Source organism: Homo sapiens, chromosome 12 (genome assembly GCF_000001405.40).
Source record: "Homo sapiens chromosome 12, GRCh38.p14 Primary Assembly".
Classification (NCBI taxonomy): domain Eukaryota; kingdom Metazoa; phylum Chordata; class Mammalia; order Primates; family Hominidae; genus Homo; species Homo sapiens.
This window is the reverse complement of record NC_000012.12, coordinates 121,770,075-121,794,259: the sequence shown is the minus strand read 5'-3', so window position 1 is coordinate 121,794,259 and position 24,185 is coordinate 121,770,075. Positions and strand designations below refer to the sequence as shown.

The 24,185-nt window shown below is 55.8% G+C and overlaps 3 protein-coding genes across 3 annotated transcripts in view, besides 16 other annotated features; 1 reads left to right on the top strand and 2 right to left on the bottom strand.

Annotated features, from left to right (window-relative positions):
• SETD1B (SET domain containing 1B, histone lysine methyltransferase) overlaps nt 1–4,105 on the bottom strand; it is a 42,502-nt gene extending 38,397 nt beyond the window's left edge. Inside the window, exon 1 of the mRNA XM_047428553.1 lies at nt 1,437–4,105. The gene's annotated coding sequence lies outside the window, so the exon portion shown is untranslated. The remainder of the gene's footprint in view (nt 1–1,436) is intronic.
• Nucleotides 124–664: an enhancer, noted in NCBI's record as "H3K27ac hESC enhancer chr12:122231502-122232042 (GRCh37/hg19 assembly coordinates)". NCBI's record gives its function as "activates a minimal SCP1, AML or CMV promoter by ChIP-STARR-seq in naive H9 embryonic stem cells {active_cell/tissue: H9 hESC(naive)}" and the evidence as "EXISTENCE:reporter gene assay evidence [ECO:0000049][PMID:30033119]".
• Nucleotides 128–177: an enhancer, noted in NCBI's record as "active region_7186". NCBI's record gives its function as "activates an Ori minimal core promoter by ATAC-STARR-seq in GM12878 lymphoblastoid cells {active_cell/tissue: GM12878}" and the evidence as "EXISTENCE:reporter gene assay evidence [ECO:0000049][PMID:35858748]".
• On the top strand, nt 572–16,506 carry RHOF (ras homolog family member F, filopodia associated). The gene is made up of 5 exons (NM_019034.3): nt 572–764; nt 1,021–1,108; nt 13,068–13,177; nt 13,254–13,388; nt 14,598–16,506. Exons 1-5 carry the CDS (start codon nt 627–629, stop codon nt 14,760–14,762), a joined length of 636 nt encoding a protein of 211 aa, NP_061907.2. The 5' UTR covers nt 572–626; the 3' UTR covers nt 14,763–16,506.
• Nucleotides 658–1,197: a silencer, noted in NCBI's record as "silent region_4989". NCBI's record gives its function as "represses an Ori minimal core promoter by ATAC-STARR-seq in GM12878 lymphoblastoid cells {active_cell/tissue: GM12878}" and the evidence as "EXISTENCE:reporter gene assay evidence [ECO:0000049][PMID:35858748]".
• Nucleotides 658–1,501: a biological region, named in NCBI's record as "H3K4me1 hESC enhancer GRCh37_chr12:122230665-122231496".
• Nucleotides 670–1,501: an enhancer, noted in NCBI's record as "H3K4me1 hESC enhancer chr12:122230665-122231496 (GRCh37/hg19 assembly coordinates)". NCBI's record gives its function as "activates a minimal SCP1, AML or CMV promoter by ChIP-STARR-seq in naive H9 embryonic stem cells {active_cell/tissue: H9 hESC(naive)}" and the evidence as "EXISTENCE:reporter gene assay evidence [ECO:0000049][PMID:30033119]".
• Nucleotides 3,808–4,007: an enhancer, noted in NCBI's record as "active region_7185". NCBI's record gives its function as "activates an Ori minimal core promoter by ATAC-STARR-seq in GM12878 lymphoblastoid cells {active_cell/tissue: GM12878}" and the evidence as "EXISTENCE:reporter gene assay evidence [ECO:0000049][PMID:35858748]".
• Nucleotides 4,088–4,157: an enhancer, noted in NCBI's record as "active region_7184". NCBI's record gives its function as "activates an Ori minimal core promoter by ATAC-STARR-seq in GM12878 lymphoblastoid cells {active_cell/tissue: GM12878}" and the evidence as "EXISTENCE:reporter gene assay evidence [ECO:0000049][PMID:35858748]".
• Nucleotides 4,284–5,000: an enhancer, noted in NCBI's record as "H3K4me1 hESC enhancer chr12:122227166-122227882 (GRCh37/hg19 assembly coordinates)". NCBI's record gives its function as "activates a minimal SCP1, AML or CMV promoter by ChIP-STARR-seq in naive H9 embryonic stem cells {active_cell/tissue: H9 hESC(naive)}" and the evidence as "EXISTENCE:reporter gene assay evidence [ECO:0000049][PMID:30033119]".
• Nucleotides 6,857–6,906: a silencer, noted in NCBI's record as "silent region_4988". NCBI's record gives its function as "represses an Ori minimal core promoter by ATAC-STARR-seq in GM12878 lymphoblastoid cells {active_cell/tissue: GM12878}" and the evidence as "EXISTENCE:reporter gene assay evidence [ECO:0000049][PMID:35858748]".
• Nucleotides 12,178–12,247: an enhancer, noted in NCBI's record as "active region_7183". NCBI's record gives its function as "activates an Ori minimal core promoter by ATAC-STARR-seq in GM12878 lymphoblastoid cells {active_cell/tissue: GM12878}" and the evidence as "EXISTENCE:reporter gene assay evidence [ECO:0000049][PMID:35858748]".
• The window catches only part of TMEM120B (transmembrane protein 120B), a 69,317-nt gene continuing 57,323 nt past the window's right edge, over nt 12,192–24,185 (bottom strand). The window contains exons 7-12 of the mRNA NM_001080825.2: nt 23,288–23,353; nt 22,711–22,772; nt 20,747–20,839; nt 19,538–19,602; nt 19,130–19,198; nt 12,192–18,651 (exon numbers count right to left, since the gene is read on the bottom strand). Of these exons, the coding sequence (NP_001074294.2) occupies nt 18,538–18,651; nt 19,130–19,198; nt 19,538–19,602; nt 20,747–20,839; nt 22,711–22,772; nt 23,288–23,353 (469 nt within the window). The 3' untranslated portion in view covers nt 12,192–18,537. The remainder of the gene's footprint in view (nt 18,652–19,129; nt 19,199–19,537; nt 19,603–20,746; nt 20,840–22,710; nt 22,773–23,287; nt 23,354–24,185) is intronic.
• Nucleotides 12,288–12,347: an enhancer, noted in NCBI's record as "active region_7182". NCBI's record gives its function as "activates an Ori minimal core promoter by ATAC-STARR-seq in GM12878 lymphoblastoid cells {active_cell/tissue: GM12878}" and the evidence as "EXISTENCE:reporter gene assay evidence [ECO:0000049][PMID:35858748]".
• Nucleotides 14,257–14,775: an enhancer, noted in NCBI's record as "H3K4me1 hESC enhancer chr12:122217391-122217909 (GRCh37/hg19 assembly coordinates)". NCBI's record gives its function as "activates a minimal SCP1, AML or CMV promoter by ChIP-STARR-seq in naive H9 embryonic stem cells {active_cell/tissue: H9 hESC(naive)}" and the evidence as "EXISTENCE:reporter gene assay evidence [ECO:0000049][PMID:30033119]".
• Nucleotides 14,776–15,294: an enhancer, noted in NCBI's record as "H3K4me1 hESC enhancer chr12:122216872-122217390 (GRCh37/hg19 assembly coordinates)". NCBI's record gives its function as "activates a minimal SCP1, AML or CMV promoter by ChIP-STARR-seq in naive H9 embryonic stem cells {active_cell/tissue: H9 hESC(naive)}" and the evidence as "EXISTENCE:reporter gene assay evidence [ECO:0000049][PMID:30033119]".
• Nucleotides 18,983–19,277: a silencer, noted in NCBI's record as "tiled region #8824; K562 Repressive non-DNase unmatched - State 23:Low". NCBI's record gives its function as "represses a minimal TATA promoter and a strong SV40 promoter by Sharpr-MPRA in K562 cells {active_cell/tissue: K562}" and the evidence as "EXISTENCE:reporter gene assay evidence [ECO:0000049][PMID:27701403]".
• Nucleotides 20,929–20,978: a silencer, noted in NCBI's record as "silent region_4987". NCBI's record gives its function as "represses an Ori minimal core promoter by ATAC-STARR-seq in GM12878 lymphoblastoid cells {active_cell/tissue: GM12878}" and the evidence as "EXISTENCE:reporter gene assay evidence [ECO:0000049][PMID:35858748]".
• Nucleotides 23,666–24,178: an enhancer, noted in NCBI's record as "H3K27ac-H3K4me1 hESC enhancer chr12:122207988-122208500 (GRCh37/hg19 assembly coordinates)". NCBI's record gives its function as "activates a minimal SCP1, AML or CMV promoter by ChIP-STARR-seq in primed H9 embryonic stem cells {active_cell/tissue: H9 hESC(primed)}" and the evidence as "EXISTENCE:reporter gene assay evidence [ECO:0000049][PMID:30033119]".

The window sequence follows — 24,185 nt, the reverse complement described above, 5'->3', positions numbered from 1 at the left end:
CACGCTGGCGTCCCTGGCCCAGGCGAGGTGGGCAGACATGACTCTCGCGTCAGCATCTTCCCTGGTGCCACCGCCGCTACCTCCTGTGGGGAAGCTGAGGCCAGAGGCGGACATGTGCCAAGCCACACCGCTGGGGCAGTGCAAAGTTGAGGGGCTCTTCCCGGAGCTGGAGGCCGGGGGCTTCTCGAACCCGGTGCGGAGGCACAGCCAGCCAATCCGGGAGACCCTGTCTGGCCGCGCCAGCCAATCAGAGGGTCCCTGCCGAAGGCGGAGCCTGCTAATCAGGGGCACCTGGAGTCGCTGGGCAGCCACGATCGGGTCTCGCCGGCGAGGGGCGCGACGTGACGCGCGGAGGGTGGCGGTGGGTTGGGGGTGGGAGCTTTGCTCGCAGCTGAGCCCCGTTTTTCCGGTGCTGCAGTATCCCTGGGACTGAGAGCTGAATACCCACACCCAGGGCTGAGACCTTAGCAGAAAGGAAACTGAGGCTGGGAGGTCGGCCGGGAGGCTGCCTGGCGGAGGCGGCGCTGCTCCGAGTGGGCGGGGCTGGTTCCGGCCCCGCCCCGCCCCCGACCTCTTGGCTCCGCTAGTGCCCGGCGCGCCGCCGCCAGTGCTGCGGGCTCCGGGCAATGGATGCCCCCGGGGCCCTGGCCCAGACCGCCGCCCCCGGTCCGGGCAGGAAGGAGCTGAAGATCGTGATCGTGGGCGACGGCGGCTGCGGCAAGACCTCGCTGCTCATGGTGTACAGCCAGGGCTCCTTCCCCGAGGTGAGGCCCGCAGCGGGGCTGGGGTGGGGGCGAGGGACGCCCCTTACCCTGAGCCCAGAGCCCCGACCCTCAGTCCCCAGCGTCCCGAGCACGGACAGGCGGCCGCCACCCCGGGGCGCCCCCTCGGGAATTCCAGAGCCCAGCGGGGTGAGGGGGGGCTGATCCGGGACGAGTGAGGGGGGTGGACAGTGGATTCAGCTGGAACTTTGGCCCCCGCCGGCCCCACTAAGGACCAACCCGACCCCCTCTCCCGCAGCACTACGCCCCATCGGTGTTCGAGAAGTACACGGCCAGCGTGACCGTTGGCAGCAAGGAGGTGACCCTGAACCTCTACGACACGGCCGGTGAGTGCGCCTGCGCGCCGGGGGGCCCGAGGGTCCGCCCGCCCGAAGGGTTTCCCCTCCCGGGCGTCCCCCACTGGGTGTCCCCGCCCTGCAGCCTTGGCAGGGCCTTGGCCGGCTCTTCACTCCTGGAGGCCGCTCAGGGGCGCTGGCTGCGGGGCCCTAGAGGCCAAGCCCTATACGTAAGTGGAAGGTGTTTGGAGGAGGAGGTGAACTCTGGGGCCACCCTCCCAGCTCTGTGCTGAGAGCCCACAGCTCGTTCCTCTCCTGTGGTTCTAGAAAGCAGTGGGCTGCTCTTGGGCCTCCCATGGTTCCAGGATTGCTGCGCTACCTGCTGTGGTCTCTGCAGACTCTGTGAGCTGCAGATTTGAGTCCCTTGGTGCTCGGATTGCCTGGGCTGTGTGTCTGGGTCCTGTGGTTCTGGGATGCTCCCGGCTGCAGATCAGCCTGTGGCTCCAGGGCTCTGTGGCCTGCGCTCTGCAGCCTGAGGCTCTGGGGTCCTGTGGATGCGAGTTCTGTGTCTGCAGCTCCCAGGATTCCACGGCTTGCAGTTGGTGGTTCTGGAATTGCGTGGCTACAATTACTTCTGTGCTTTCCTAGTTCCCTGGGACAAAACCAGACAGTGTAGAAAATGAACTGAGGAAGGAACAGAGCACTGGGGGCAGGGGCCCCACACCAGGCTCTGCCTGCCACCTGCAGGCCCCCACGGGTGGTTTACGGATTTATGTGCAATTGCTTGGGAGTCGGTGTTGTGAGGGGTGGGGACAGGAGAAACAGTCAGTGGGAGGACCCTGACTCCCATCTGGGCTTCATCAACATTGGGGACCAAAGGTTGAGATCCCCAGGTGGGGCCTCACCCCACCTCTGTGACTCAGTGTTTAGTGACCTGCAGGGAACCACGTCATCCGGTGGCCCTCTCCGGCCAGCCAAGCCTTGTGTGTGTGAGGTGAGGTCAGACACTGACCTAGGATGGAGCCAAAATCCAGACACCTCCACCCCCACCTAGACCTTGGAGAGGACCCGAAAAGGGGCTGTCCTAGCTCAGAGCCCCCCTCCATTCCGACTTCAGCAGGTCCTATCGTGGCCTCTGAGGAACCTGTCTTTGTGGGATGTGGGCCCTGTAGGGCCAACCCCAAAACAGCGCCTGTCTCTAGCCCCTGGTGAGCTGGGAGAGCTGAGGCATCAGAGGAATTCCCGGGGCGTGGCCCGGGGGTAGTAAAAGTCATGGTCTGGGACACCTTTACTCTCATGTTTCCTGTGCAGTAGCCAGGGAGGGGCAAGGTCATTGACCCACTTTTTGAGTCAAGTGCTGCTGGGTGGAGACATTCACAGCAACCCACTGCCCTGCAAGAGGTCAGGAGGTTTTTTCTTTCCTCCTCCTCTGCCATCAGGGCCTCCCCTATCAGGTCCCGGGGTTCACTGTTCAGGGCAGCCTCCACATCATAAGAACAGGGATGGCCTTTCTGGCCTTGCCCAGAGAGAGATGCTCAAGGAACATGTCAGAGTAGATTGAGTTGTGGAGATTCTGGAAAGCTGCAAGTTGCTGTAGGAAGAATTTGTGCTAAGAGCTGCTACCAGAGGGATGGAGGAGCATCCCCTGCTACAGTCACCAGAAGCAGGCGACCACTGGCACCATGGGGATCCCATCCATGGTCCCATCCTGTTCCTGCCATCCTCTTTGGAGTCAGATCTGGGCTTTGACCCCAGCTCTATTGGCTACGTATCATTGGGGATGTCTGGGCCTCAGTTTCCTGATCTGTCATGAGCACTAAGAGGGTCATGAGGATTAAATCAGATTAATATATGATGTCCACCAGCCTGCCCAACATGGTGAAACCCCATCTCTACTAAAAATCCAAAAATTAGCTGGGTGTGGTGGTGGGCACCTGTAATCCCAGCTACTCGGGAGGCTGAGGCAGGAGAATCGTTTGAACCCGGGAGGCAGAGGTTGCAGTGAGCCGAGATTGTGCCATTGCAGTCCAGCCTGGGTGACAGGGCGAGACTACATCTCCCAGCACTTTGGGAGGCTGAGGCAGGAGGATTGCTTGAAGCCAGGAGTTCAAGACCAGCCTGGGCAACATGATGAAACCCCGTCTCTACTAAAAGTATAAAAATTAGCCAGGCGTGTTGGCACATACCTATAGTCCCAGCTACTCGGAAGGCTGAGGCAGGAGAATTGCTTGAACCCAGGAGGCGGAAATTGCAGTGAGTCAAGATCACGCTACTGCACTCCAGCCTGGGCAACAGAGCGAGACCCTGTTTCAAAAAATAAAAATTAAAAAAAATTAAAAAGATCCTCCTACCATCCCTGCCCAGCCCTAGCTCAAGCCTGTGCTTTGGAATCTACGGTGCCATGCCCCAAGCTGACCCCCAGACCCTGCTGCAGCGGGGAGATCTATCTTCCCTGGCAAGTCTCTTCCAAGCAGCAGAGAAGCAGGGCTCAGGGGAGGTGGCTAGCCTCACAGTCTGACAGACCCCAAGGAGGGGCACCCAGGGAGAAGAGATCTGGCTGCTCCCTGTAGGGTATCCCCCCGTGACCAGGGAAGGCTTGCTCATAGGAGGAAATCCCCTGGTCAGTGAGTGCCACCAGGGAGAGCCCAGGTCCCAGTGCTTGTCATGGAGCAAGGCCTGGAAGGTGATGGAATGAATGGGTAGTGGATCCGAATGCCGGAGATGATTCATCTCGGCCTGCAGGTGGACGGCTCTCAGGAGAACAGGACAGAAAGCCATGGCCAGGCGGCCACGTAGAGAGAGGCAAAGGCCAAGAGGGTGAGGGAATGGCCAAGCCAGAAATGAGTCTAGTAAACGTAGTTGTAGAAAGTTCTAGAACCCAATGGGCCACACACAGTGGCGGAAGGGGCATCTTCCCGACTGGTGGCCACCAGAGCTGTGAGACAGGGGTGGCTCTCAGAGGCTGAATTTCTCCACACCCAGGACCAAACGCTGGTCCTGGGCAGGGGCCGGACGCTGCCCACAGGGGCCCTCGTGGAAGGCCCGTGTGGCTGTCTCCCTCCTGAGGAAGTAGTTACAGACACCACAGCGGAGGGAGGGCAGATCGGGTGACGGGGCTCGCAGGGCTCAGAAGGGAAGGGGCGGGGGCCATGGCACTCACTGCTCTGTCGGCCTCACCGGGGCCCTGACATCCTCTGAGGCAGGAAGCTGCGGTGAAGTCTGAAGTTTCCTGGGCCGGGGGAGGCGGGGTGAGGTGGGCTGTGAAGACACAGACGGGAGAGTGAGCTCATCAGGGCCAAGGTGTGGGGTCCAGGGTTAGAGGGGCACAGGATGGGATAGGGGTTGCCCGGGGAGCGGTGGTCCCCTTTTCAGCCTGAGATGGGAACAGAAAGAAAATTGTTAGGCAATGGAGTAGGATTTGCTAAGACAAGGAACCAGGGACAGATGTGTGTTGTGAGCCCCAGAAGCACCGGAGGCCTGGGCTGAGACAAGGCTGGGGTCACCCAGAAGGTGGTCTCAACTCCCAGCTGGGGCTGCCCAGCCCCTGTCTCCCTGGGAAAGCACAGGTGGGCGGCCCCCAGCAGAGTGAGTAAAAGTGGGTTCCTCTTCTGGCAGCTTCACTTCTCATGCTGCCAGTACCCCTCCCTGACCAACGCCGCAGCTGGAGCTGGGGTCCACCCGCCCTGTGTGTCCTCCTGCAGATTTGAGGTCTTTTTTCCTCAACTCTGCTCTGGGCCTTAGAGACCCCTGTCCCTGGAAGCAGGACTTCCTTGGCAAAGCCTCATCCCACCAAGAAAATAGCCCTGTGTGCGGCATGAGCCTCCCTTCCGCCCAGCCCTGCCGCACCGCCTGAGTGCACGTCAGGACGATGGGCGGCTCTAGGGGGAGCCCAGGCCTAGAGACTTCCTCACCAGAAGCACGTGCATCCTTTGCATGTAATTCCTGGGTTTTTTTTTGAGGTGGGGAATGGTTAGAGACAGGGTCTCGCTCTGTCACCCAGGCTGGAGTGCCATAGCATGATCATAACTCATTGCAGCCACAGCCTCTTGGGCTCAAGTGATCCTCCCATGTCAGCCTCCCAAAGTGCTGGGATTACAGGTGTGAGCCACCACGCCTGGTCTACCTGGGCTGTTTTAACCTCTAAGCCCATCTGCAGAGGCTGGATGGGCCCCCTCTGTGACTACGGGCAGGTGACATGGACCCTTTCAGCCCTGGTATCATTTTAGGTAGAATGTGGAGGGTAATGGTATCACCTGGTGGCTGGGAGGCCCCTGAAGCTTCTGGGTCCAAAGATTCTGGGGTTCTGACCACCCACCATGCCAGGCTATTAACTTCTCCTGGAAGTTTCAACAGTAACCACAATAGCAGTCCTCCTGCCTCCCGGCACTGCCCCCCACTCCACCCCTGCCCCTGCACTGCTCCCGCTCTAAGCATTGCCTCCCTTCTCCTGGGCTTTCACCTTCCAGATTAGGGGGAGGGTTATCACTGTTATCACCCCCTCTCCCAGATAAGGAAATTGACACCCAGAGAGGGAAATGTGGGCGTCAATTCGAGATGTGGAGGCTGCCCTGAACAGTCCTGCCCAGAATGTGCATGAGTGAATGGAACCTGACCCTCCTGACTCATATGAGAGAAGGTATTTATTAATAGTACGCTCCCCCATCCCCAAGTGGGCATGGGGTTGGTGCACACGGAAGTAGTCCTCTGCAGGCCTGGTCCCCCCACCACCCCCACGCCCCAAAGGCCCACACTGAATTCTAGGGAAAGCTGGGTTGGGCAGAGTCAAGCCAGGAAGGCAACCTGGAGGAGGTGCTGGAGTCGGAGCTGGCTGCCTCTCCCTTTCCAGAGGCCCTCTTTCTTGAGAGGGCTGACATTTTTCCTCACCTGGTCAGGGCTGGGACAAGTAGGGTGAGGATTCCTTCCTGTTTTCTGGGGTAGGCTAAGAAAAAAAAATACTCCAGTAAGGTCCTCTGTTATTTACAAAGCTTCCCCTTAGCTGTGTGGCCTGGGGCAAGTCACTCCAGCTCTCTGTGCTTCCGTTTCTCAGCCTGTAAAATGGGGCCAACAATAGTGTCTACCTTGTAGGGCTTTTGGGGGAAAGATGAGTTAATCCAGGTGAAGGGCTTTGAGCTAGACCTGGCATGTAACACAGTGGTACACACCTGCGGCCCCAGCTCCTCAGGAGGCTGAGGCAGGAGGATGGCTTGAGCCCAGGAGGTTGAGGCTGGAGTGAGCTATGATCACACCACTGCACTCCAGCCTGAGCAACAGAGCAAACCCCGCCCCCCCCCCCTTTTTTTTTTTTTTTTTTTGAGGCAGAGTCTCACTCTGTTGCCCAGGCTGGAGTGTAGTGGTTCAATCTCTGCTCCACCTCCCCAGCTCAAGTGATTCCCCTGCCTCAGCCTCCCAAGTAGCTGGGATTACAGGCATATGCCACCACATCCGGCTAATTTTTGTATTTTTAGTAGAGACAGCGTTTCACCATGTTGCCCAGGCTGGTCTTGAACTCTTGACCTCAAGCGATCCGCCCGCCTCAGCCTCCCAAAGTGCTGGGATTACAAGCATGCGCCACAGCGCCCGGTCTAGACCATGACTTTTATATGAGAGAAAGAGAGTCGATATTAACCATCTTTATTATGACTGTCATCAAGGCTCGCTCACTTTTCACATCTCCATTTCACAGATGAGAAAACTGAGGCCCAGAGGTTAATTCCCGGTTGGGAAGGCTGGGGACAGCTTCCTGGAAGAACTGGTGCTTTTAGAATGGCCTGGCAGGCAGCTGACCTTGGGGACTGGTTGGCCTCTGGCTCACAGGGTGCTTGTCTCTGACCTTGACAAAGGCCCCCTCCACCACTTGCGTTCTTAACAGGAAGAACTGTCCCCACCCAGCGCACCTCCCAGGGTGGCTGCTTGAATGAACACAGGTCAGGAAGTGGAATGCCCTTGCCAAGGCTGCAGGGCACCTAAAGCCAGAGAGATGACGATTAACCCTCTTCAACCACTCCTTCCTTTGAGCCTTCCTTCACCAAACAGGTATTGAGCTCGCCTGTGTTCCCAGGGACCCAACAGTGAACAGCACAGAGGTGGTTCCTGCCCGCAGGAGAGGCAAACCAAAAAACCCAGAGAATTACTGTTTTTTTTGTTTTTGATTTTTGTTTTTGTTTTGAGACAGAGTCTCGCTGTGTTCCTCAGGCTGTAGTGAAATGGCACGATCTCAGCTCACTGCAACCTCAGCCTCCTGGGTTCAAGCAATTCTCCAGCCTCAGCCTCCCAAGTAGCTGGGACTACACGTGCCTGGCCCCATACCCGGCCAGTTTTTTGTATTTTTAGTAGAGACAGGGTTTCACCATGTTGGCCAGATTGGTCTCGAACTCCTGACCTCAAGTGATCCACCTGCCTCAGCCTCCAAAAGTGCTGGGATTACAGGTGTGAATCACCCCGCCCGGCCCCAGAGAAGTATTGTGAAATCAGGTAGGGGTGAGAGCCATGAGTAAAGCCACTGTCATGGGGCAGACTGCCAAGGAAGCTGTTTCAGAGCAGTCAGGAAAGGTCTCTGGGAGGAGGCGACATTCCATAGAGCCCTGAAGGAGAGGAGGGAAGGAGCCACACTGCTCCCTGTTGAAAGAGCCTTCTGGAGGAGTGAACAGCAAGGGCAGAGGCCCCAGGAAAGGCAGGCAGGGTGTGACTGCCTCCAGCGCCCCGGGGCTGACTTCTTCCCTCACCCACTGCAGCCTGATGCCTGCCCCGCCACCTCCTGTCCTGATGTCACTGCATGCCATAGTTGCCAAACCCAGTGGGCAAGTCTCAACCCTTGTCTCTGCTGTGTGTGACGAGAGTGGAACAACCTTGGCTGACATGGTGGCTCACGCCTGTAATCCCAGCACTTTGGGAGGCCGAGGCAGGTGGATCATCTCAGGTCAGGAGTTTGAGACTAGCCTGGCCAACATGGTGAAACGCCGTCTCTACTAAAAATACAGAAAAAAGGCCAGGTGCTGTGGCTCACACCTGTAATCCCAGCACTTTGGGAGGCCGAGGCGGGTGGATCACAAGGTCAGGAGATCGAGACCATCCTGGCTTACACGGTGAAACCCCGTCTCTACTTAAAAAAATAAAAAAAAAATTAGCCGGGCGTGGTGGTGGGCGCCTGTAGTCCCAGCTACTCTGGAGGCTTGAAGCAGAAGAATGGCGTGAACCCAGAAGGCGGAGTTTGCAGTGAGCCGAGATCACGCCACTGCATTCCAGCCTGGGCGATAGAGTGAGATTCTGTCTCAAAACAAACAAAGAAAAGAAAAGGCTGGGCACGTGGCTCACACCTGTAATCCCAGCACTTTGGGAGGCTGAGGTGGGCGGATCACGAGGTCAGGAGATCGAGACCATCCTGGCTAACACAGTGAAACCCCGTCTCTACTAAAAGTACAAAAAATTAGCTTGGTGTGGTGGCGGGCACCTGTCAAGTCCCAGCTACTCAGGAGGCTGAGGCAGGAGAATCGCTTGAACCCGGGAGGCGGAGGTTGCAGTGAGCTGAGATCGCACCACTGCACTCCAGCCTGGGTGACAGAGTGAGACTCCGTCTCAAAAATAAAATAAAATAATAAAAATACAAAAAAAATTAGCCAGGCATGGTGGCACCTGCCTGTAGTCCCAGCTACTCAAGAGGCTGAGGCAGGAGAACCACTTGAACCCAGGAGGCGTAGCTTACAGTGAGCTGAGATCGTGCCACTGCACTCCAGCCTGGGCAACAGAGCAAGACCCTGTCTCCAAAAAAAAAAAAAAAAAAAAAGTAAAGAAAAAAAGAAATGAGAGAAGACGTCCAAGGGGGCCCCATTTTATAACCTTATCCACGGTTTCACTTTCTGTAGTTTCAGTTACCTGAGGTCTGAAAATATTACCTGGAAAATTCGAGAAATAATTCATAAATTTTAGATCATGCACTGCTCTGAGCAGCGTGATGAGATCGTGCGCTGTCCTGCTGCATCCCACCCGGGATATGATTCGCCCCTTCCTCTGTGTATCCCTGCTGGAGACACCACCTGCCTGTGAGTCAGTCAGTAGCTGGCTCGGTAACAAGCCAGGCTGGTCTTGAACTCCTGAGTTCAAGTGATCCTCCCGCCTTGGCTTCCCAAAGTGCTGGGATTACAGGTGTGAGCCACGGTGCCTGGCCCTGTTTTATTTTATTCTTGTTGTTAATCTCTTACTGTGCCTAATTCATAAACTAAGCTGTCTTATAGGTGTGTACATATAGAAAAAAACAGCGTATCTAGAGTTCTAGACTGTGGTTTCAAACATCCACTGGGGGTCTTGGAATCCACCCTTGTGGGTTAGGGGGACTAATGTACCTGTTCACTCCGGCCATATTTGTAAAAGGGAATAAGTTATGCCAGAACTGTGAACCCCATTGTTACATCTTAAAGGACCAGAACCTATTTTTGCACAATACAAAACAAAATAGCACGTTAGTGTGTATCAGCAGAAGGAACATCCCACTTGGAATTTCATGAGCTGGGGTTGACTCCTGGCCCAGTCACTGAGTCATTGACCTCAAGCAAATCACTTCATTTCTGTGACTCTCAGGTTCTTCCTATGTTGTGGGAGTATTCATCATTTCCCTACCATATCTGGCTGTCATGTAAGGATTTTTTTTTCTTTTTTTTTTTTTTTGAGACGACGTCTTGCTCTGTCACCCAGGCTAGAGTGCAATGGCACGATCTCGGCTCACTGCAACCTCTGCCTCCCAGGTTCAAGCAATTCTCCTGCCTCAGCCTCTGGAGTAGCTGGGACTACAGGCACCTGCCACCACACCCAGCTAATTTTTGTATTTTTAGTAGAGACGGGGTCTCACCATCTTGGTTAGACTGGTCTCAAAATCCTGACCTCGTGATCCCCCTGCCTCGGCCTCCCAAAGTGCTGGGATTACAAGCATGAGCCACCACGCTTCACCAAGGATTTCTTAACCATTTCTAGACTAAAGCACCCTGAAAACTGCATAGAGTATAGGATGTATTATTATAAAGGCAGTCGCAGAGGGCAGGCAGTTATCCTCAAAAGGGAAAAAATATAGATGGTTAATCTGGATGTTTAAGAATAAAATGCTAGAGAGAAAACGGTGAAAAGAGAAATGAGGGAAGGACCTTCCTGGCATGTGGAACAGCAAGCACAAAGGCTGGGACATGAGAGCTTGGTGGGTTTGAGAAACAGTGAGATGGTGCCTTGGCGGGACTGCAGTGAGCAAGCGGGTGTGGCAGGCGATGAAGTCATGTGAACCAGGGGAGATGTTTGGATTTTATGCAAAGGGCAATAGGGGCCAGGCACGGTGGCTCATGCCTATAATCCCAGCACTCTGGGAGGCCGAGGCAGGTGGATGACCTGAGGTCAGGAGTTCAAGACCAGCCTGGCCAAGATGGCAAAAACCCCATCTCTACTTAAAAAATACAAAAATTTCATCCCTGTAATCCCAGCACTTTGGAAGGTCGAGGTGAGTGGATCACCAGAGGTCGGGAGTTCGAGACCAGCCTGACCAACATGGAGAAACCCCATCTCTACTAAAAATACAAAATTAGCTGGGTGTGGTGGTGGGCGCCTGTAATCCTAGCTACTCGGGAGGCTGAGGCAGGAGAATCACTTGAACCTGGGAGGTGTAGGTTGCAGTGAGCCGAGATCGCGCCATTGCACTCCAGCCTGGGCAACAAGAGCGAAACTCTGTCTCAAAAACAAAAATTAGCCAGGCATGGTGGCAAGCACCTGTAATCTCAGCTACTTGGGAGGCTGTGGCAGGAGAATTGCTTGAACCCGGCAGGCAGAGGTTGCAGTGAGCTGAGATTGGGACACTGCACTCCAGCCTGGGTGACAGAGCGAGACTCTTGTCTCAAAGAAAAGGTGGGGGGGGGGGCAATAGGGAGCCATTGAAGATGCTTCAGTTGTGGAGAGGGGGCCAGGATATGACTTGTGTTTTAAGATCCATCCAGCTGTCAGGTGGATAATGGATTCATCAAAGGGCTGCAGGAGGCAGGGAAGAGGGACAGACGAGGACTTAGATGAGGATGGTGTAGGGGCGGGGGGTGGCCAGCAGTAGACAGGGGCCCACCGTCCAGTAGAACTTTCTGCAGTGGAGGAAATGCCGTGCACCTGCCCCAATCACTGCATTAGCCATGAGCCCCGGGCGGCAGTTCATCACCTGAAATGAGGCTTGTGCAACTGAGGCGTTGAATGCTTTATGTTAATTCATTTTTTATTTTTATTTTTATTTTTTTTGAGACAGAGTTTCGCTCTTGTCACCCAGGCTGGAGTGCAATGGTGTGCCTTGGCTGGTGACAGCCCCGTGAGGTAGATTTTATGATTTTCATGTCCCAGATGGGGAAGCCAAGACTCCCACCACTGTCCTGTCTAAGTCAAGGTCACACAGCCAGTGAGGGCAGAGCTGGGATTTGAACATGTGTCTCATCTGTCTCTAGTGACCTCACCCTTAAGCACTGTTCCATGGGGGAGCTGGCTGAAGACTTTTGGAGGTCCCTGGGTTGAGGGGGATCCAGTGGGGAGAGGGTGGCCATGCCCCATCACCAGCAAGGGGTTAGGAGCAGACATGGCCTGGTGGTACTCCGTGGAGAGGCCACTTGTCCTGAGAGGTGTCTGGCAGAGAAGGAACGGGGGGCAGGCTGGTGCCACCCAGCACCTGCAACAGCTGCGGACAGGGCAGGGGGATTCCTGGGCCTCCACGTTCCTTGTTCAGTGGAAGGAAGTGGAGGGGCGGGGGGCTGGTCACCAATGAGCCTGAAAAGCTCTCAGTTCTCACTGTGGGGATTTTAAAAAAATACCGGGGCAGGATGACTAAGTGCAGTGTAGAACCCTGGGCTGGGCTGGCTCCTCAACGGGGAAAAAAATAAAGGACAATATTGGTGAAATGGTCAAAATCTGACTATGGTCTGTGGATCAGATTAGAATGCAGAGTCCATGCGGTTTCTGGGGGCTTGGGGCAGGGGAGAGAACGCCCTTGTTCTCAGCAGATAGGCGCTGAGCTAAGGGGTGAAGAGGCAGATGTCTACAGTTACCGTGCCCTGACAGGGAGAAACAGAAGTGTCTGTCTCCAGATAAAGTCAGAGGGGCCAATGCAAACAGGTGGTGAATCACAGTCAGAGAGCTCTTCATACTCGTGTTGCAATTTTACTGTAAGTTTGAAACTGTCAATACAAAAAGTTACAAAGAATTGTTTATAAAGAAGAAGAAGAAAAAAGCAAACCCAACCAAGCTCAAGCCTAGATCCGTATTTGGATTCAGCTCGTCTCGGGGCGGAGCCAGGCGTCACGGCCTCCGGATTAAAGTATCCCCCCAGGGAGTGTGCTCTGTGAATCTGGGTGGGGAGGGCGCTCGGTGCTGTTCCCAGCAACCCACCACCCTCCTCCTAGTGCTTGCAAGAATAGGCAGGGAACTCAGCTGACTGCATCAGAACCTGAGAAGCTGGAGGCTGAAGCCAGACACCAGCCTCTCAGGACTTGGGGACACTATGAGCCCACTCAGCCCCACAGGTCTGAATCTTTGGGGAGGGGAGGGTTCCAGTCTGCACTCTGCCCTTGACCATCAGGGCAGGGGGATCACACTGGCTATCGGCATCATCTCTAGCAGTTTCTCCAGCCCCAGCCCTAGAATCAGGCCAAGCTCTCAGCACTGCGTGGGTTTGATCTTGAGGATTCTTTACCACCATCCAGGACTGGGGGGCTGCCGCTCATGGGTTTTGTTGTTAAGAGACAGGGTCTCGCTCTGTCACCCAGGCTGGAGTGCAGTGGCATGATCACGGCTCACTGTAGCCTTGACCTCCTGGGCTCAAGCGATCCTCCGGCCTCAGCCTCCCGAGTAGCTGCGACCACAGGCCTGTGCCAGCACTCCTGGCTTGCTGCCCATTGTATAGATGAGGAAATTGAGGCCCTAAGGCAGGGTCACTTGCCTGGCCCCTTCCCCTTCACCCGTCAGAGTCCAGACAGGGAGGGGACGTCCCCTGACCCCCGCTGCTCTGTGCTTTCAGGGCAAGAAGACTATGACCGGCTGCGGCCCCTGTCCTACCAGAACACCCACCTCGTGCTCATCTGCTATGACGTCATGAATCCCACCAGCTACGACAACGTCCTCATCAAGGTGAGGCCGGCCTCCTGGGTGGTGGCCCCACATCTGGGCCCGGCCGCACCCCTGATCCCGCCTCCTCCCTCCACAGTGGTTCCCTGAGGTCACGCATTTCTGCCGCGGGATCCCCATGGTGCTCATCGGCTGCAAGACAGACCTGAGGAAGGACAAGGAGCAGCTGCGGAAGCTCCGGGCCGCCCAGCTGGAGCCCATCACCTACATGCAGGTGGGCCGGGGCCAAGACCCTGGGGCACAGCCGTGGCTGTGAAGCCTCCCGGACCTTTGGCCTCTGCAACTGGGGTGCCTTAGTGGCCTTTCAGGGAGCTGAGGGAAGCAAGATTCTAAGAATAATTTTTAACTATTAGTATTGATGGCCTGTGGACCTGAGCACTTTACACGACTACTCCCAATCCTTAGGACTCGGAGGCAGGCGCTGTTCACATCCCCCAGTTTACAGGGGGAGAAACTGAGGCCCAGAGAGGTTAAGCAGCTTGCCCAGGGCCACACAGCTAGCGAGAAGTGGAGCCAGGATCTGGTCCCATCCACTGCAATCCAAAGTCTGTGCTATGAGCCGCCGTCCTGTCGTGTCCTGTCTGCCTTGTTTGAAAGTAGGCGTCCCCTTCACGGGCCAATTGACCGTGCAACTCTTTGGGTGAGGCATGGGGGAATAAACAGAATAAAAGGAATGCAAAGGCAAAAAGAAACTTTCACAAGAAATAACCATTAATAAGGGCAAATCCGGCCGGGCATAGTGGCTCACGCCTGTAATCCCAGCACTTTGGGAGGCCGAGGCGGGCGAATCACCTGAGGTTGGGAGTTTGAGACCAGCCTGACCAACATGAGAGAAACCCCATCTCTACTAAAAATACAACATTAGCCGGGCATGGTGGCGCATGCCTGTAATCCCAGCTACTCGGGAGGCTGAGGCAGGAGAATCGCTTGAACCTGGGTGGCAGAGGTTGTGATGAACCAAGATCGCGCCATTGCACTCCAGCCTGGGTAACAAGAGCAAAACTCCATCTCAAAAATAAATAAATAAAAGGGCAAATTAATTTGCCTAAATGGTACTTTCAGAGAAGGGAGAGAGGTGGCTGGAAGTCCTTTCTGTCTTGAGGCCTCCAACTCTTCTCACAGGCCTGGGAGACACCTGGGGGAACCAACCCCGGGTCTCAGGATTCAGCCCCTCCCTGCCCGGAGCTGGAGAGAGGCCAGGGTGGGGGCCTGGACAGGGCTTCTTCCAACCTGCGGGCTGCACTGCCCTGGCCCTCCATTCCACCCACACACTGTGAGGGGCAGCCAGGATGGAGGAGACAGACAGGCCCAAACCAAGGCCTCCATCCCTGCAGAGTCCTCAGAGCCAGTCCCAAACCCACCAGGTGGTGCTAGGAGACCTCCAGGGGCCCCTCACCTAATGCTGGCTCCTCCCCCCACCCAGGGCCTGAGCGCCTGCGAACAGATCCGAGCTGCTCTCTACCTGGAATGTTCCGCCAAGTTTCGGGAGAATGTGGAGGACGTCTTCCGGGAGGCCGCCAAGGTGGCTCTCAGCGCTCTGAAGAAGGCGCAACGGCAGAAGAAGCGCCGGCTCTGCCTGCTGCTCTGACCCAGGGCAGACAGACCTCACGACAGCACTGACAGGGCCCGGGGGCCCAGGTGCCGATTGCACCAGGGAGGCTGCCCCATCCCGACCCTCCAGCTCATGGTGTCTGGGGCCTGCGGCTAGACTCTTGGAACATTCTGGAACTCTCTCCTTTCCTGGCTGGGGCTCTGACCACAAACTCCCCTCCAGGCTGCCCCTGGGACATGGTGGTGATGTGGGTGCAGGAGCCAGTGTCTGTTGTCGGGACTCGCAAGTGCCCTCATCACAGCCACCCCCACCACGAGTGTCTCCCCAGTGCAGACTCAAGTTATGCTTGAAATGAAAAAGTCTATCTGGTAGTGGGTAAACGTAGACCTGGCACTGTTCCACGCGGGCGCCCCAAGCCTGCCACTCCTGTGTCCCTGCCTCCCTGGGCTCCCGAGATAGGCACCACTGTATCCTCCAGCTCCTTCCTTCCTTCCCCCAGGAACACGGAGGCCACCGAGGGGGCTGGGCCTATCAGGAGGACACAGGCTGCAGCCTGGCACCCACCCCTCCCATCTCCACCCCACATGGAAGACTTGTCTTCAACTTGGCCACTGTCTTTGCAGAGCTGGGCACATGTGCCCAGGGGGCAGAAAAAATGGCTTCTCAGTTGTTAAAAGTATACCCTGGACCACCCATCTGACCATCTCCTTAAGGTTTCACCCAAAGCCCCCAGTGTCAGAGACTTGGGATGGGAAGAACAGTCGGCTCCCAGTGTGGTCATGAGCAAGTTTTCTGTGGACTGTTCCCCCCACTGTGGTAGGACAGGACTGGCCCACTTAGTCCTCAAGCTCCCAACCTGCTGTCCCTCAAGCCCCGCTTCTACCAGCCTGTGGAGTTCAGGAGGCGAGACATCCTGGCCTCCTTTGAGAACTGATGGGATCTACCCCCTGTCCACGCGGGACAGTTTCTCAGAACTGGTTCATAGACCACCTGTGTCACCAACAGCCAGATACCTAATCCCTGAGCCTCCTTTGGGAAGGTCTGGGGCCGAGGGTCTGGGAATTTTTTTTTTTTTTTTTTTTTGGGACAGAGTCTCATTCTGTCACTCAGGCTAGAGTGCAGTGGCATGATCTTGGCTCACTGCAAGCTCCACCTCCTGGGTTCAAGCGATTCTCTTGCCTCAGCCTCCTGAGTAGCTGGGACTACATGCGCACACCACCACGTCCGGCTAATTTTTGTATTTTTAGTAGAGACAGGGTTTCACCATGTTGGCCAGGCTGGTCTTGAACTCCTGACCTCGTGATCCACCCGCCTTAGCCTCCCAAAGTGCTGGGATTACAGGCGTGAGCCACCGTGCCCGGCCCAGGACTTTTAAAACAAGCATCCCAGGGGATTCCGGTGCCTACCAGAAGTCGCAAGCTGCTTGGCTCTGGAGGGCGCCTAGGAGTCGGTGTCGCCTAAGATGGGATAATGGCTTCAGGCAACTCCTAGCCTTCCCCATATCTCCTGCCTCAGCCCCCCTGGCCCAGTGCTGGGGCGTCAGCTAAACCTGAGCTTCCAAGAAGTCAGGTTGCCAAAGGAAGGAGCCTTCTGAGACCCTCCCCAACCCACCCAGGTTCCCAAGGCCCTGCCGTACCCTGGGGAATCAACCAAGGAGTTCTTGTTCTCGAAGAACCCCAGGCCTCATGATGGTCTACGGTAGAGGTCCAACAACTACAGCCTGTGGGCCACATCTGGCCACAGCCTGATTTGTAAATAAAGTTTTATTGGAACACAGCAACACCCATTCCTTTCTGCATTGCCTTGTGCTCTGGGGCTGCAGGTGAAGAGTAGCTGCCACAAACCACCTGGCCCATAAAGCTCAAAATAGTTGCCATCTGGCCCTTTACAGACAGCTAGCTGACTCCTAATCTAGGGCAAACGCAGGTGCCTAAAAAGGACCAGAAAGGAGACCAGAATGAAGGGCAGGGGGGTGGCAGGGCCTGTGGCAACTGGAGAGTAGGCGTCCTGTGCCACGGGAATGTTGCCAGGTCCGTTTTTCTAGGGAAAGCAGAAATCTGGATTTTTATGTGGAATCTCACTGTAGGGGTGGGGAAATCTCATTTTAAAAATGTAATCAGGCCAGGCACAGTGGCTCACACCTGTAATCCCAGCGCTTTGGGAGGCCAAGATAGGAGGATGAGTTGAGCCCATGAGTTGGAGACCAGCCTGGGCAACATAGTGAGACCCCATCTCTACTAAAAAGTATTAAAAAGTAGCAGGGTGACCAGGCATGGTGGCTCACACCTGTAATCCCAGCACTTTGGGAGGCTGAGGCAGGCAGATCACAAGGTCAAGAGATCGAGACTATCCTGGCAAACATGGTGAAACCCTGTCTCTACTAAAAATACAAAACAAAACAAAACAAAACAAAAGCCAGGCATGGTGGCACGCGCCTGTAGTCCCAGTTACTCGGGAGGCTGAGGCAGGAGAATCACTTGAACCTGGGAGGCAGAGGTTGCAGTGAGCTGAGATTGTGTCACTGCACTCCAGCCTGGGTAACAGATCGAGACTCCCATCTCAAAAAAAAAAAAAAAAAAGGAGCAGGGCATGGTGGTGTGTGATTGTGGTCCCAGCTACTCCAGAGGCTGAGGTGGGAGGATCCCTTGAGCCCTGGAGGCGGAGGCTACAGTGACCTATGATGCCACTGCACTCCCGCCTAGGCAACAGACCCTGTCTCAAAAAAAAAAAAAGTAATTAAAAATTTTAAAATTCCTTGAGGAGGGCTAAACAAGGCATGCCTGTGGGCACTGCTGTGAGGTCTGGCCTAGGGATTTGTAGGGCCACAGTTAGGGGGAGCTGAGGCCCATATATGAATGGTGGGGCAGAGCACTCAGCCAAACCTGGTGGCCTCTCTGCCTCCCGTCGAATGCAGAATCTCACCCAAGCGATGCCCAGTGGCTCTGACCCCGCCTCAGGGTGCGGCCCCTGGGGGTGAGCCTGCCAGGCACCCCCACCTCCCTCCCACAACATCCAGAAGCTCTGGGAAGGAGGGGGGAGGTGGTTCCCCTCCACAGGGGCCAAGGGTCTTGGTCCCACTCTCCAAGTACCTGCCACGACACTGCAGGAAGGTGGGCTGCAGGATGGGGGGGTCAGGGAACCCCGAAGCACAGACGGGAACGTCCTTGTCCCCTTGGACGACCCAGGGCCCGGGGCGCCCTCTGGTGGCGAATCTTCTCACAGCCTGACTCAGGATGCCCCCAGCGCTCCAGGGGCAAGAAGAGCACGAGGCAGACGCGGTGGGTCTCTGAGAACTTAAAATAACCCTCACCACGTGGCGGGGTGGGCGAGGAGGGGGCTCACAGCAGAAGCAGAGTGGCCCCGGGGTGGGGGCGCCACAGGACACTGAGGGTTCACACCACCCCAGCCTGGGCCTGGTAAGTAGCAGGTCAGCATAAATCCAACCCCGCGAGGCACATCCAAACCCCACCCAGAGGGGTTCAAATGACAGGAGTGGGAACAGAGGGGCTCCCTGAGGCTTCAGGCCCCATCCCCAGGAAGACTGGCCCGGCCTCAGCCACCTTCAAGCACAGGAGTGAGGCCTCGGGTTCCAGGGACGATGGGGGACCCAGCATTAAATATGTCATAAATAGGTGGGCGGACACTGTGCGGACAGGCGGGGCTCACATTCCTCTAGACCACTGGGGTCCACTGGGGGACCAGGGCCTGGGCCCTCTCCCAGCGATGCCACGGGCCTGAGAGGGCTGCTGGGAAGGAGCCCGGGAGCCCCCTGCAGTCTGAAGTCCGGGCCGAGGGCACAGGAGCCCGAGGCTCACGGCTGCTTTGTCTTGCCTCTGTTCTTCTGGAGCTTGGCATGCACGACTTTGAGCGTGGTCAGGAAGTTGCCGAGGAAGAGGATGAGGAAGGTGAACGCCAGTACGAACACCTGGGGGAGTCCAGAGAGGAGGGCGAGGCTGGGGCATCTGCCCTGCTGAACCCCTGCCCCCAGCACCCCAGAATCTCCAGCACAGCTGCCCCCAAACTCCCAAACTGCAGGGTTTTGCCATCGAAGGCAGAGATTCAGGAGACCTGGGGGAAGGGTGAGGCCTCAGGCTTGGGCAGGGCCTGGGAAGGGCTCGATGGGGCGAACCTCCTTGGGATCCACAGATTGGGAGAGGCTCCACCCCTAGCCCTTCCAGAAGCCTCCCGCCAAGCAGGCCCCCCACAACACCCCACACCTGCCAGCCCAGCCCGCCCCAGGAACCTCCCCACAGCACACCACACACACGCACACACCCCACCCCCACATCTGCCATCCCAGCCCTCCCCAGGAATCCGCACCCCAGCATGCCACACATACACCCCATCCCTGCCACCCCAGCCCTCCCGGGAACCTCCCCCGAGCATGCCCCCACCCCCCATACCTGCCATTCTCTGCATTCCTCGTGGCTGGAGAGCTCAAACAGCGTGACGGCATTGTAGAGCTGCCAGAACTGGAGAGGAAGGCAGGCGCTGCTCACCCACCAGACTCCCCTGGCCGGCCACGTAGAAAGCCAGGGTGATGGCCAGGCCCCTCACCCAACTTTGGGTATCAACTACCCACAACACTGACAGACACCCCCAAAATGAAATGCAGGCACCCGAGGCCAGGGCAGAGCTAGGTCAGTTCTGGCTCCTGCCTTGGCATCCCTGGGCCCAGAGGCTGCCCCGGCCCCAGGATGCTGTGGGCCCCAGCATGGGGACGGATGGAGAAGGAGGGCAAGGCCTGAAGACCTTCTGTTCCTGGGGGTCAGCCCAGACAGGAGATACCCACAAACTCCAGGGGGACTCACATGGCCACAGAAGAGGAAGGGCAGGAGAAAGGTGAGGCCCCGCCACATCCAGGACTGGAACCCTTCTGTGGAGAGGAGGGAAGAAAAAGGACCCGCTGAGGGGGTCCGCTGCCCCCACAGCTCCACCAGACGCCCACCCCCAGCCACACCAGTCACCCTAAGATGAGCCAGGGACAGTCACACATGCGGGGGGTCAGCCCTCACCTGTCATAGCTGGGTGGGCATTCACTATGACAATAGCAACCCTGTCACCTGGCCTGACTGCTCTCTCTCTTCAAGCCACCAAGAGCCAGGTGACAACACACAGACACTGGGCGCTATGTTGTTACTAATTTCTTTAATCTGCACAGGGTTTTGCATTTTATAATGAATTTTCACATGCATTAGTTCTATCGAGTCTTGAGACAGGAGGACCTACTTAGGAGAGTAATTTGATGGAAATGACTATGTCAAAAGACAGCAGAGTTGGCCAGGTGCAGTGGCCCACGCCTATAATCCCAGCACGTTGGGAGGCCAAGGTGGGCAGATCACTTGAGGCCAGCAGTTTGAGACCAGCCTGGCCAACAAGGTGAAACCCCATTTCTACTAAAAATACAAAAATTAGCCGGGCGTGGTGGCACATGCCTGTAATCCCAGCTACTCAGGAGGCTGAGGCGGGAGAATCACTTGAACCCGGGAGGCGGAGGTTGCAGTGAATAGAGATCGTGCCACTGCAATGCAGCCTGGGCAAGAGTGAGACTCCGTCTCAAAAAAAAAAAAAAAAAAAAAAAAGATAGCAGAGTTGTATTAAAAACAGTTTCCCCTGAAATTCTCAATGAGGTGTCTCCTCACTTTTCTGGCTGGCACTCCTATGGCTTCAGAGTGAGGCATGTCTCCCCCGTGTACATGCATTTATATACTTATACGTGTTGGTATGTAGACATGTTACACACAAATGGCTAATTTGTGTGTGTGTATTCTAGAACACACACAAAAAAATAGACACTTCCAGAGGCTGAGACAGAGGCCCTGCCCTCGGGGCCTGGTATGCAGCTGGCCTGGCACTTGGCAGCTGAAACAGAATCCAGGATGAATTCTGGAAGGCGCTTCGGATAAAGGGCAGCGGCCTGGCTCCGCTGTATGGGAGGTGCTCGCAGGGCTGCACTCCCGGTGTGGGGAGCTGGCAGGTCCAGTACCTGCCCCGGCTCCAACCCAGGCCCAGCTACTCACCCACTGTGAGATCCAGGTGGTTCCTCTCCCCCAGGGCCCGCAGCCGGTAGAGGCAGCCCCTCTGGTAATAATATTGCAGGAACTGGACGCAGCCTGCAGGGGGAGCACAGCACCTGGGCTCAGGGCCTGGTGTCCCCGGAAGACAGGGCCACACCTCTCTGCCCCAAGCACAGGCTGATGGGTCTTTACTGGGCAGAAGCAGAAAGGGTGCCCTGGTTACAACCCTCTCCCACGCCCACACACCACAAACAGACACACACACTCTGGTCTGAACCTGCTTTAGCCCTTATCCAGAACACAGAGAGAACACAGGTATGTGAGGACCCATCTAAGCCCCAACTAGATTTGAAACTTCTGGAATTTTCCATGCAGTAGACACTCAATAGATGCTTGCTGGAATGCAAGCTATGCCAGTGCTATGTTGGGAGCTCTGTGCAATGCTAAGACACAAGACAGAGTTCCATCCAATGGGATACTTCGTTGTTGCTAAAAATGAGGTGGTAATGACATGAAAAATAGCCATGATAAACTGTTAAAAATTCAAAAGGCAGGTTATAATAGTAAAGCTCTATGTACAGAAAGGTCCCATACTTGTAAAAGATACATAATGTAATACACACATGTATATACCTATTTATGAATAAAAACTTTTGAGAGGACATAGATCTTAACTAACGTCACCTCTAGGGTGGGCTGATATACAATTTCCATTCTTGGCTTTATACATTTGTATTTGTTTGCAAGCAGGTTTTAACTTAAAATGTAGGTTGTAGTATCTGAAAAGTCAATACAGCCAGGCGTGATGGCTCATGCCTGTAATCCCAACACTTTGGGAAGCCAAGGCAGGCAGATCCCTTGAGGCCAGGAGTTCAAGACCAGCCTGGCCAACTGGTGAAATCTCATCTCTACCAAAATACAAAAAGTAACCAGGCATGGTGGCAGGCACCTGTAATCCCAGCTACTTGGCAGGAGAATCGCTTGAACCGGGAGGTGGAGGTTGCAGTGAGCCGAGATCACAACACCGCACTCCAGCCTGGGTGACAGACAGAAACTCCATCTCAAAAAAAAAAAAAAAGAAAGAAACGGTACGGCGTGGTGGCTCATGCCTGTAATCCCAACACTTTGGGTGGCAGAGGTGGGTGGACCACCTGAGGTCAGGAGTTCCAGACCACCCTGACCAACATGGTGAAATCTCATCTTTATTAAAAATAAAAAAAATTAGCTGGGCGTGGTGGTGCGCACCTGTAGTCCCAGCCACCCGGGAGGCTGAGGCAGAAGAATCGTTTGAACCCAGGAGGCGGAGGTTGCAGTGAGCCAAGATCGCGCCACTGCACTCCAGCCTGGGCAACAGAGCAAGACTCCATCAGAAAGAAAGAAAGAAAGAGAGAAAGAGAGAGAGAGAGAAAGAGAGAAAGAGAGAGAGAGAGAAAGAGAAAGAAAGAAAAAGAAAGGAAGAAAAAGAAAGAAAGAAAGAGAAAGAAAGAAAGGGAAAGAAAGGCAATACACACATGGGATAAAATTTAAAGGGAACAAACAGGTTGGTGAAAAGTAAGACGCTCTCCCTGTCCCCAAGCATTCAAGCCCCCTTCCCCAGAGGCAACCCTTGGGACCAGTATACAAATCCAGAGCAATTTTCAGATGAGAAAAATAATATATATTTCCATTTGGAGGACTTATTTAGGACTGGAAAAAAGGCTGGTATCCCCAATGCTACTCAGTTCCCAAAGGTCACAGTTGGCAGGGTTCCAGCCTGGGGAAGGAGCAGGCAGTGCTGGGGGCTGGGAGGTGGGTGGAGCTGACCTGGGGCGGGGACAGCTCTCCTTCTGGATTTCTGGGACCCTCTCCCCCAGTCTGGTCTCCCTGCCACACAGGCAAGCACTGATTGATGTCAGCTGGGGCCCTCCCTTGGTGAAAGTCTCAGAAAACCATGTCCCTTCCCCCAAATCCAGGCAACAGTCACTCACTCTGAAAAATGGAAAATGCTAAGAACTGGTTGCGAAACTTCTGATAAATGGGTCCATTAGGCCTGGAGAGAAGGTAGGAAAAAACAAAGGTGGGGCCCACTATGAAATGAGACATTCCTCCCCGCCCCAACTCCATTCCAACCAGAAGAGGCGAAAAGGTGTATAAAGTCAAACTGAGGTCCAGACTTCCGCCCTTCTATCCCTGGGGCTGGGCGAGGTCATCCCATCTTCCTTTCTAGAAGCACAGGGGTCCACATGGCCGTGCAGAAGCGCTAACTCCCTGTGACCCCTCTGTCCTCCGCAGTCTCCTTCAGTGCCCAGCCTCACTCGCTCCCTCCAGCCTTGCAGCCCCGCTACCTCTGCCCTGGCCAGGGACACCCGAAACCATTCCCTGGAGAACCCCTCACGGGCTGGGTGGGGCCCGCGCAGCCCGGCGCAGCTGCAGGCTCATACTTTCTTTCCCAAGTTGGCCCTGGAGCACACCCCCCACCGCTGTCTGGATCAGCCCCCTCCCCATTCCCGGGCCCCAGGCTCTACTCCCTGGGAGGCTGGAGGGGCCCAGCGAGGGGCTACTCACCAGGTCAGCATCACTCCGGACAGGAATGTGGAGACGTAGTGGTGAGACACCCACCAGCCTTTAATTCTCGGGAGAGGGAGAGAACGGAAAGTGCTCAGGAGGGGAGAGCAACGCAGGCATGTGTCTCGCTGAGGCCCCACCTATGCAGCAGGGGTTACTCTGCACTCAGAGACGGCTTCTTGGAGTAAGAAACAGACTGGAACCCTGACCGTGCCCTCCTCTCTGTCCCACAGGGCTGCACCATCCCACACAAACCAGCTGCAGATTAGCCTGGACTCCCACTTGGGCTTCCAGTGGTTTCCAGCAACCCTCAGAGCACACCCCTAGCCTCACCTGCCTTCAAGCCTCACTCCTGTCCTCCCCACCTGGTCCTCTCCCCAGCACGCGGGCGCTCCAGGCACGGCTCCTGTCCTCCCCACCAGGTCTTCTCCCCAGCACGCAGGCCCTCCAGGAATGTGGGCTCTCCTAGAACCCGCCAAGCCTGCCTGCTGCCACCTCAGGGCCTCCTACAGACTGAATAGTGGCTCCAATTCCTGCACTGAAGCTGAGCCCCCCAGCACCTTAGAACGTCCGTGACTGTATTTGAAGACAGGGCCTTTGAAGAGGGGACTGAGGTAAAACAAGGTCACACTGGTGGGCCCTAGTCCAGTGTGACTGGTGTCTCTGCAAGAAGGGGAGAGACACCAGGGCTGTTTGTGCACAGAGAAAAGGCCACATGAGGACACACGGGGAGATGCCATCTGTGAGCCACAGAGAATGGTCTCAGGAGAAACCAGCCCCGCCAGTACCTCCATTCTAGACTTCCAGCACCAAACTGTGAGGAAATACACTCTGTGGCTTAGGACACTCGGCGGGCGGTACTTCCTACAGCTACACCCAGCGGGCTCACCCAGGGCCT

Excerpts from the sequence above, each read along its gene's own strand:
- RHOF (NM_019034.3), top strand. The coding sequence starts at position 627 with ATGGATGCCCCCGGGGCCCTGGCCCAGACCGCCGCCCCCGGTCCGGGC. Across the intron at positions 765-1,020 it reads GCCAGGGCTCCTTCCCCGAG|CACTACGCCCCATCGGTGTT; the intron begins GTGAGGCCCGCA and ends CCTCTCCCGCAG. Across the intron at positions 13,389-14,597 it reads AGCCCATCACCTACATGCAG|GGCCTGAGCGCCTGCGAACA; the intron begins GTGGGCCGGGGC and ends CCCCCCACCCAG.